Raw genomic sequence first — 10,866 nt, forward strand, 5'->3', positions numbered from 1 at the left:
GCAATTTGCTTACAAAATTACCCAAAGCAAATTTTTCTTATTTTAAAGTATTTAGTTGTTAAGTAAGACCAATTATTTAATTTCTATATCTACACTTACAGTTTAAGATACACACTTTCCTCATATTATAGTCCAGGTCTTGACCTAATTATGTGACTTTGAATAAATCCCACATATCTACAGAATGTTTCTTCCAGCTGCAATAACCTAGACCTAGTTAGAGAGATTTTGGTCTCTTCTATTAATATTTAGAGAATAATATATCAGCATAGGTGTACATGTAGAAACATGCTGAAAAACTAAATTGTTAGCTCTAGTCTTATTTCAGTTAACTTTATAGTCAGAAATTACTACTAAAAATGTTTTTTAAACTTGAAGTTACTTTCAAGGCTAAAAAGTTACACAATTGTGAGTATAGTTTCACGATTGAGGTATTTCACAATTTCATTCACAGTTGTGAGTATATTTTTATATATTGGAATAATTTATCAAAATGAGGTAGTCTAAAAAATATTGGCTAAATATAAAAATCCTACATTATTAAATGTTATCTCACTAATATTTATAAACTGTCCCTTACCTTTTAGCTAGCATATTGTGTTGTACAGTTCCTGGAGAAAGATACAACACTAACAGAGCCAGTAAGTGTTCTATTTATTTTCATGTTTTTGGTCTGCATTAATAGCATTTCATTGTAGCTTTCGTTTTATAGCCTTTATAGTTATTAAGTAGAATAATGTACGTTAAGCTAAAATCATTTAGAAGAAGAAATGTGAGATTAATCTACATTAAAAGAAGGGGTTAGGAGGGGAGAGTTCTCGTGAGTTATGTCTTGAATAACCGAAATATAGACTACTATTAATATGTAGTAGTTAAGATGTACGATGATAGGATCAGATGACCACAGTGAAATTTTATATGCATACTGTCTTCACCAATAATCTTTTAAATCTTCATTCACCTTTTGGAATTAAAGCATACTTCGAGGGTCCCAAAACTACTACTCCCTTGAATTTTGTTTTGTTTTTAATAATAGAATTTTTGCCACTCATTAACAATAAACCACTTGATAGGGATAGAAAACATTTCCTTGCTTTTGGTGATTAAGATATAAGATGTAATCTTGGAATAAAAGTAGTTTATGAACCAGCAAGGCAACTTAGGCTTTGAATTCTACTGTTATTTGCCTCTAGAATGAAAATTCAGGAGAGAGTGAAAACATAATTAGTTATGAAAATTTACTGAGGATTCAAGAAAAACAAAAGATGAAGTAGGGTGAAACAGAAAAGTATAAAAGCATAGAAAACATTTTAACCTTGGTGAAGTAAGTATTTTGAGAGAATGCTTTCTAGGCATGTTCAGTCTAAATATTTACCTAGTATTAGGTTGGTACAAAAGTGATTGCGGCTTTTGCCATTACTTTTAATGGCAAAAACCACAATCACTTTAGCAGCAACCTAATAAATATTTAGTAAATAGCAAAGGGTTTGAAAAACTAAAATATATATGTATTTTTACTATATTATGAACCTTCTCAGGCTATCCGTAGGGATGCTTGAAAAAATCATATACTTAGTATTCTCCCTTTCACTTGAACTTTGTGTAATGGAACAAAAGACATTTTTCCACTCCTTAATTTTTATTAGTTTTTTGACTTTTAGATTTACAGTCTTTTCTAGAAACAGCTGTAAACAGTTTTTGAAGACAATTCAGGAGAATTAGAAACCATATATTTGTACATGAAACCACATAAACCTCTGAAGTTGATTCCCAGGTGTGCAGTGGCTCACAACTGTAATCCCAGCACTTTGGGAGGCTGAGGCAGGCAGATAACTTGAGGCCAGGAGTTTGAGACCAGCCTGGCCAACATGGTGAAACCCTGTCTCTAGTTAAAATACAAAAATTAGCTGGGCATGGTGGCACAGGCCTGTGGTCCCAGCTACTCAGATGGCAAGGGCACAAGAATTGCTTGAATCCAGGAGGCGTAGGTTGCAGTGATCTGAGCTCATACCAGTGCACTCCAGCCTGGGCAACAGAGTGAGACTCTGTCTTCAAAAAAAAAAAGAAAAAAGTAAAACCTTAATACAAATCTATGATAACTCCCATTAGAATTAAGAAAAAGAAAACCCATAATAACACATATTGAAAAGTCATGGTTCATGCTTGGTAAATAGTATACAAATAAAATTTTATTTAATTAATTTGGGGTGGATAAGGAAGACAGGTGATTTATTTTTAAAGAATGGAAGATAGAGGCTGGGCATGGTGGTTCATGCCTGTAATCCCAGCACTTTGGGAGGCCGAGGCAGGCGGATCACCTCAGGTCAGGAGTTCAAGATCAGCCTGATCAACATGGTGAAACCCCATTTCTACTTAAAAAAAAAAAAAAAAAATTAGCTGGGCATGGTGGCGTGTGCCTGTAATCTCAGCTACTAGGGAGGCCGAGGCACAAGAATCACTTGAACCCTGGAGGCGGAGGTTACAGTGAGCCGAGATGACACAAAAAAAAAAACAAAAAAACAAAAAACCTTGACGATTAGGGAGAGGGATGATGGCCAGTTATTCAGCTTTTATCTGGTTTGGCTGAGTTGGGTTAATGAAAATAGGAGCAGGATGAGGAGAGAGAGTAAGATAAATACCCAGGTTAAGAAAGGAAAATATTTTCCAACTCATAAAGATCTCTCGATATAGAGATCTTGCAATTTCTAACATAGGCCATTCCAGCACCAAAATTACGGCCATATTACTTGGGTTTAAGCCTTAATACTAATTTTCTGGAAAGCAGGCATTCCTATCAAAGCTTTCTACAAATTATAAGTAGCTCAGAGCTTTTGTTAGTTTATTACTCAAGCCTGTAATCCCAGCACTTTGGGAGGCTGAGGCAGGCAGATCACCTGAGATCAGGAGTTCAAGACCAGCCTGGCCAACATGATGAAACCCCATCCCTACTAAAAATACAAAAATTAGCCGGGCGTGATGGCGGGCACCTGTAATCCCAGCTACTTGGGAGACTGAGGCAGAATTGCTTGAGGCAGGAGAATGGCTTGAACCCAGGAGGGCAGAGGTTGCAGTGAGCCGAGATCACAGCACTGCACTCCAGCCTGGGCAACAGAGTGAGACTCCGTCTAAAAAGAAAAAAGTGCAGAGTGGAAGAATTAACTAAATATTCATTACAGCTAAGTTTCCATGTAAAGAGGAAAAAAATGAAGAGTCGGCATGACTTTCAAAACTTTTATTTTTTTGGCAGTGTAAACCTTTCCTTCCACTCAAAGCTGCATTTTTATAAAACAAGCAAAACAAAACAAAACACCGTTCTTATTCCAAGAAAATCTAACTTGAGCCCCAAAATAATTTTTTTATTTTTCTTTTTTATTTTATTTTATATTTTATTTTATTATTTTATTTTTATTTTATTTTATATTTTATTTATTTTTTTGAGACAGAGACTCACTCTGTTGCCCAGGCTGGAGTGCAGTCAGTGGCACCATCTCGGCTCACTGCAACCTCCACCTCCTGGGTTCACGCAATTCTTGTTCCTTAGCCTCCTGAGTAGCTGAGATAACAGGCGCCCGATACCACGCCCGGCTAGGTTTTTTTTTGTATTTTTAGTAGAGATGGAGTTTCATCATGTTGCCCAGGCTGGTCTCAAACTCCTAAGATCAGGCAGTGTGCCTTCCTTGGCCTTCCAAAGTGCTAGGATTACAGTTGTAAGCCACTGCACCTGGCCCACATTGACATCTTTTTGGGGGCCACTAGTCAACCCAGTGTTCGTTATTCAATACTGCCCGACATTGAAATTTGTGTATGATGAGGGTAAGGAACTACATTTGGGTTTGTTTGTTTGTGTTTTGGGTTTTTTTTTTTTTCAGACAGGATCTCACCACATCACCCAGGATGGAGTGCAGTAGTACGATTGTGGCTGACGGCAGCCCTGACCTCCCAGGCTCAGGTGATCCTCCTGCCTTAGCCTCCCAAGTAGCTGGGACTACAGGCATGCACCACCATGCCCAGCTAATTTTTTTGTATTTTTGGTAAAGATGAGATGGGGTTTCACCATGATGCCCAGGCTGGTATTGATCTCTTGGGCCCAAGCCTGCCTTGGCCTCCCAAAGTGCTGGGATTAAAGGCCTGAGCCACCATGCCTGGCCTGCATTCATTTTCAATTACGCATATCAAATGATCACAAAATTTATTGGCTTAAAATAGCAAGCATTTATGGCCTTTATCAAAGCTGCAGCTGCTTCCATGTAGCTGCTGTGGTCAAAAAGAAGCCAAGAGTGACAGTTTTCCTTGATGGTCATAGTTCTGTTTGCTGTAACTGATCTGCAAGATTTTGGGAAAATACCATTCCATTGGGAGGAAAAATGACAAGCATTTGTTGCCTTAGTTGCTGTGAATCCAGAATCTGGTCATGGCTTAGGTGGGCCCTCTGCTCAGGGTCTCTTACAAAGCTGCAGTTGGAGTGTTGGCCAGAAGTTGAGTCTCATATAAAGTGTCAGATGGGGAAGGATCTGCTTCTAAGTTCACATGTATGTTGGCAGAATTCAGTTTGTCAAGTTATGTTGGACTGAGAGCCTCAGTTCCTGGCTGGCTGTTGGCCAGAGCCCACCCTCAGATCCTTGTCACCCAGGCTTCTCCAGCATGGCACCTTACTTCATCAAAGCCAAGACAGCGAGTCTACTAGTAAGACAGAAGTCACAATCTTTTGTATCTTACTCATGAAGTGACATTCTTTCACTTTTGCCACAGTCTGTTCGTTAGAAGCAAGTCACTAGGACAGCTCACACTTAAGGAGAGGGGATTACACAAGGGTGTGAGGACAGTTAACAAGCTCATGAGATCATCATAGAAGTCTGCCAACCAAAGGAGCCTGCTACATTTTTCCTTTCTAAATAGTGAGCTACCTGTCCCAGTACCACCACTGTTTCCCATGGAACTGAAAGGCCACCTTTGTCATATATTAAAATCCATATATACATGAGTATATCTAGATACTCATATATATCTTTTCTCTCCATTTCTTTGCCAATATAATCTTGTTTTAGTTGCTGATATCCATAATACAGGTTCTGTTCCATTAACTCCCCCCACCAAAAAAACAATTCTTATTTGCTTATATTTATGGATTTTAGAATAAATGTTTCTAGTTCCAAAAAATAATTCAATTGGCATTTGATTGAAATTATATTAAATTTACTTATAAATTAAGTACAGGAAAAATATCTCTGCACAATATTGAACCACCTCACTTATTTACAGTCATGTGCTGCATAATGACATTTCGTTTAATAACAGGCTACGGGCCGGGCGCTGTGGCTCAAGCCTGTAATCCTAGCACTTTGAGAGGCCGAGGCGGGTAGATCACGAGGTCAGGAGATCGAGACCATCCTGGCTAACACAGTGAAACCCCGTCTCTACTAAAAATACAAAAAATTAGCTGAGCCTGGTGGCGGGCGCCTGTAGTCCCAGCTACTCAGGAGGCTGAGGCAGGAGAATAGCATGAACCCGGGAGGCAGAGGTTGCAGTGAGCCGAGATCGTGCCACTGCACTCCAGCCTGGGTGACAGAGCGAGACTCTGTCTCAAAAATAAATAAATAAATAAAAATAACAGGCTACATATAAAATGTCAGTCCCAGACAGGCGTGGTGGCTCAGGACTGTAATCCCAGCTACTTGGGAGGCTGGGGTAGGGGGATCTCTTGAGCCTAGGGGGTTGCAGTGAACTGTGATCACACCAGTGCACCCCAGCCTGGCCGACAATGCAAGTCTGGACTGTCTCTTAAAAAATAAAAATGGAACTGGGCATGGTTGCTCATGTCTGTAATCCCAGCACTTTGGGAGGCCAAGGTAGGAGGATTGGTTGAAGCCAGGACTTTAAGACCAGCCTGGGCAACAGAGCAAGACCTCGTTTCTACAAAAAGTAAAAAATTAAAATTAGCCAGATGTGGTGGCATACACCCGTAGTCCCAGCTACTTGGGAGGCTGAGGCAGGAGGATCATTTAAGCCTAGGAGTTCAAGGTTACAATAAGCCTAGGAGTTCAAGGTTACAATGACCTCTGATCATGTCACTACACTCCAGCCTAGGCAACAGAGTGAGGCCTCATCAAAAAGAGAGAGAAATGTTGAGAGAGAGAGAGAGAGAGAGAAATGTGATTCCAAGAGAAAGAAAAATGGTGATCCCATAAGATTATAATGCTATATTTTTACTGTACCTTTCGTGTTTAGATACACAAATACTATTGTTACAACTGCCTACAGTGCCTACGGTATTCAGTACAAGAACATCCTGTACAGGTTTGTAGCCTAGGAGCAAAAGGCTACACCATACAGCCTAGGTGTGTAGTAGGCCATACCATCTAGGTTTAAGTACACCCTGTGACATTTAAATGATGAAGTTGCCTAATGACACATTTCTTAGAACGTATCCCCATCATTAAATGACATATAACTGTATTTGTAGTCTTCTATGATCTTCAGTAAAGTTTTATGCTTTTCTCCATATGTCTTAAGTATTTCTTGCAAATTTATTCTTTATGCACATTATAGTTGTTGTTGTGAAAAGTACCTTTTTATTATTCATCTGATTTTTACTGATGTTTTATAAAGGTATTGATTTTTATATATGTATTTTTTAATGTGGCCACATACTGAATTTTCCTACTCACTCTAGTAACTTGCAGGGTTTTTTTTTAAGTTTTAAGGGATATATAAATATACAGTTACACAAATAAGTGTAATTCTGGTATTCCTTTCCAACATTATTCATCACATTGTTATCTTACTGGATTGTCTCCAAAACAGTATCCTTCCCAATTTTAATTTGAATTAGTGTTCCACATTACTGGACCAGACAGACTATAAAGTAACCTAAAAAGCTGTCAAAGATCTATTTCCACAAAACCACCAGGCCTAGATGGTTTTACAGCCTGTCTCTAATAAATCATTATGTAGAATGATTGCTGGTGGTTTCTGATAAATTCTTTTAGTTCTAGCTTACTAAATTTTTTTATCAGAATATATAGTCAATTAAAAATGTCAAATGACTTGAAAATCTTTTAAAATGATCTGGGTTTTTTTTTTTTATTTCCCCTTTTAACCTATGAATGGAACCATCCTGGCATTTCTGGAATAAGTTACAATTAGGCATATAGCATTCTTCTATTGTGATTCAGTTTAATGCAAGTGTTTTCAACTTTGTTTATTTAAATAAATAGTCTCCACTTTGGGAGGCCGAGGCTGGTGGATCACAAGGTCAGGAGCTTAAGACCAGCCTGGCCAAGATGGTGAAACCTGTCTCTACTAAAAATACAAAAATTAGCTGGGTGTGGTGGTGGGCGCCTATAATCCCAGCTACTCGAGAGGCTGAGGCAGAGAATTGCTTGAACTTGGGAGGCCGAGGTTGCAGTGAGTCAAGATCACACCACTGCACTCCAACCTGGGCGACAAAGTGAGACTCCATCTCAAAATAAATAAATAAATAAAAATAGTCTCTTTTGTTTCATTGTATTCTGGTTATAAAGATTGTGCTAGCCATGAAATAGACTGAGAAGCTGTCCAGGGTTTTTTTTTGTGTTTCATAATGGTTTAAATAACAGGAATCATCTGTTCCTTAAGGTTTCTCCCTAAAATAACCTCCCTCTCTCACCCCACCAACTTATATTTTCCTTTATTTTCTTAGAAGTAGCACATACTATTAAATTGTTTTATTTATGTGTTTAATTGATCACTTGCATTGGTCTTCCTCCATTAGAACGTAAGCTCTGTGAAAACCAGAGACCTCATCTGTCTTGTACATCAGTGTGTCCCTAGCATCTAGAACAGTATCTGGTACATAATAGGCACCCAGTAAATGTTAGTTGAATTAATAAAATTCTAAAGCTGAGCAGAAAGTCTATTTATACACATATATTAAGCAATATTGATTTACTTCAGAATGAGTGTTGATATAATCACAGCTATGGAAAATACGCTGGGATTAACTAGCTTTGTTATTAAATTCATGCTAAACTTTTTCTTTTTCGCAGGTGATCAGAGGACTGCTGAAATTTTGGCCAAAAACCTGCAGTCAGAAAGAGGTGGGTTTTGTTCACTAAATGTAGTGCATTTTACTAGAACTTGTCAATCCCAGGGCTATAAACCATGCTTCTTTGGGCTGGCTGTATTGCTGTTGCTAAAGAGCGGGAGATGTACACAGACTTGGTAGAAGACCTGTGCTATAGTAAACTCTGCCATCCAGACATTTTTTTGCTTATTGTATACTATGCAGATTAACCTTCTCATTTGTATGGTTTCTATATTAGTTTCACATAATTTATCATGTTTCTTAAAATAAAATTTTTTTAACCTAGGTGATGTTTTTAGGAGAAATTGAAGAAATCTTAGATGTCATTGAACCAACACAGTTCAAAAAAATTGAAGAGCCACTTTTCAAGCAGATATCCAAGTGTGTATCCAGTTCTCATTTTCAGGTATGATGTTTTCAGTGAAGCCTTTACTTTACACTAGTATTTCTTTCCTATTTTAGTTTTGACATTTCTCTAAATGTCTTTTTTTAGGTTGCAGAAAGGGCATTGTACTTCTGGAATAACGAATATATTCTTAGTTTGATTGAGGAGAACATTGATAAAATTCTGCCAATTATGTTTGCCAGTTTGTACAAAATTTCCAAAGAACACTGGAATCCGTAAGTATCTTTTATATAGGTCGTATTTTTTTCTTTTTTTTTTTTTATATCTTTTTGTTATTGATTTCCTAACTCATACTTGAAACCTATTACAGATTTGGAAGTTACTCCAAGGTTAACATCAGTTGTATTCTATTCTGTATTTTATATACGTATACCTTTATCAAGTTATAAATGTGTGTGTTTGTTCAGTATGTGGTCTTAATGTCAATTTATTTTTAAAATTTTTTTAGAGACAGCCGGGCGCGGTGGCTCACGCCTGTAATCCCAGCACTTTGGGAGGCCGAGGCGGGCGGATCACAAGGTCAGGAGATTGAGACCATCCTGGCTAACACGGTGAAACCCCATCTCTACTAAAACTACAAAAAATTAGCCGGGCGTGGTGGCGGGCGCCTGTGGTCCCATCTACTCGGGAGGCTGAGGCAGGAGAATGGCATGAACCTGGGAGGCAGAGCTTGCAGTGAGCCAAGATTGTGCCACCGCACTCTAGCCTGGGCGACAGAGCAAGATTCCGTCTCCAAAAAAAAAAAAAAAGAGAGTCTTGCTCTGTTGCCCAGACTGGAGTGCAATGGTGCAATCATACCTCACCGTAGCCTCAAACTCCTGGGTTCACGCAATCCTCCTGCCTCAGCCTCCCGAGTAGCTACGACCACAGGTGTGCACCACCATACCCAGCGAATTTTTATTTTTATTTTTTTTGGACAGTTGAAGTCTCACTATATTGCCCAGGCTGGACTGAAACTCCTGGGCTCAAGTGATCATCTCACCTTGGCCTCCCAAAGTGCTGAGATTATAGGCATGTACCACTGTGCCCAGCCTTCATGTCAATTTAAAATTGCAAATCTCCCTGGAGGTTGTGGTCAAACCCTCTTGGGGAGACCAACTGAACATTTGCAGAGGATACACAAACTACTCCGTTAATGCAGAGTTGTGTTGGTCTACTCTCAGTGTATAGTCTCCCCTCTATAAATGGCACTGTCCCAGGGGAAAGCCGAAGTGCTAAGGGTAATATATTCTAACTTCTTTAACATCCTTATCCGGCTTTCTACTTTTCATAAGTTTTGGTAATTGGATCTTTTTCATCTTCTTTTAATGTTGTTACTCAGGATTTCAGACATGAGACTGTAAAGCAGAAATGAAGATAACTATAGTGAACATTTTTAACTAGAGTTTAATGTAAGCATGATAAAATGGAAAAGATTTAAGTTTTCTTAGACTGTCTCTACCACCACTTGCTGTATGACCTTGAGCATATTACAAACCTCTTGAGCCTCAGTTTTATCATCTCTAAAATGGATTAAATGAAATCAGCCAAGCTTTAACCCATTTTAGAGACCATAGTGTTACATTTCCTCTCTGTTAGCAGTATCATAACTCAGGACTGGCTCATTTTCATTTCAGGACCATTGTAGCACTGGTATACAATGTGCTGAAAACCCTAATGGAAATGAATGGCAAGCTTTTCGATGACCTTACTAGCTCATACAAAGCTGAAAGACAGAGGTATTTGATATTTTGAATTACAAAATTATCTATACATTTTATGTTAGTTGAATGTGATTCAGTTCAGGAAGGTATCTTCTCTCAGTTCAGATTTTCATATTTAAGAAGTTAATTACCTTATAGTAAACATTACAATGTGAAAGTCTCTTAACATATAAGTCATTTCCAGATAAACTAGCCCCAGTATTTTTATAAATTTGTTAAAGCAGAAAAAGCAGTAGCATTTATTTTTGAGGGTAGTTACATAATTTACTTCCTCTAAATGGTTAGATTATGATTTTAATGTGGATCATAAATCCTGTTTATCTCATTCTGAGCCTTAGATTTCCTCAGTCTGTTAGCATCTGCATATGAAATATAATTTATGCTGAATTTTAAATATCAATTTGTACAATTTGATTTTTTATCCATGCATTTACGAAAATCCTTTTTGTCCACGTGGGCTTCCAGAGTGAGCTTTACTTTTCAAGTGTTCTTTGTTAGCAGTAGGTAATTCTTACGCTGTGGATTATCAGAAGGTGGTATTTTAAAGTCAGCATAGTTCTCCTTTGGGAAGAGGGAAGTCACATAATGATATGGCTTAGGGTACTATTAATATGTTGTCCTTGCAATAATATGTATTTTAGAGTATAAATGTTAGCACGTATCAGCCTTTAGGAACATGGCCTAGTGATTACCTC

At 38.1% G+C, this 10,866-nt stretch overlaps 1 protein-coding gene and 1 non-coding gene across 3 annotated transcripts in view; both read left to right on the top strand.

Moving 5' to 3' along the window:
* Positions 1–10,866, top strand: part of PPP2R5A (protein phosphatase 2 regulatory subunit B'alpha) — a 76,444-nt gene that overhangs the window by 63,192 nt on the left and 2,386 nt on the right. For both annotated transcript variants that reach the window (NM_006243.4, NM_001199756.2), the window contains exons 8-12: positions 588–641; positions 8,025–8,075; positions 8,349–8,468; positions 8,556–8,683; positions 10,085–10,186. In NM_006243.4, the coding sequence (NP_006234.1) occupies positions 588–641; positions 8,025–8,075; positions 8,349–8,468; positions 8,556–8,683; positions 10,085–10,186 (455 nt within the window). The remainder of the gene's footprint in view (positions 1–587; positions 642–8,024; positions 8,076–8,348; positions 8,469–8,555; positions 8,684–10,084; positions 10,187–10,866) is intronic.
* SNORA16B (small nucleolar RNA, H/ACA box 16B) lies at positions 4,217–4,349 on the top strand. Its single transcript, NR_004389.1, has one exon. It is a non-coding gene; the product is annotated as a small nucleolar RNA, H/ACA box 16B (small nucleolar RNA).

The sequence above is a fragment of the Homo sapiens genome, chromosome 1 (genome assembly GCF_000001405.40).
Source record: "Homo sapiens chromosome 1, GRCh38.p14 Primary Assembly".
In the NCBI taxonomy this organism is placed as follows: Eukaryota; Metazoa; Chordata; class Mammalia; order Primates; family Hominidae; genus Homo; species Homo sapiens.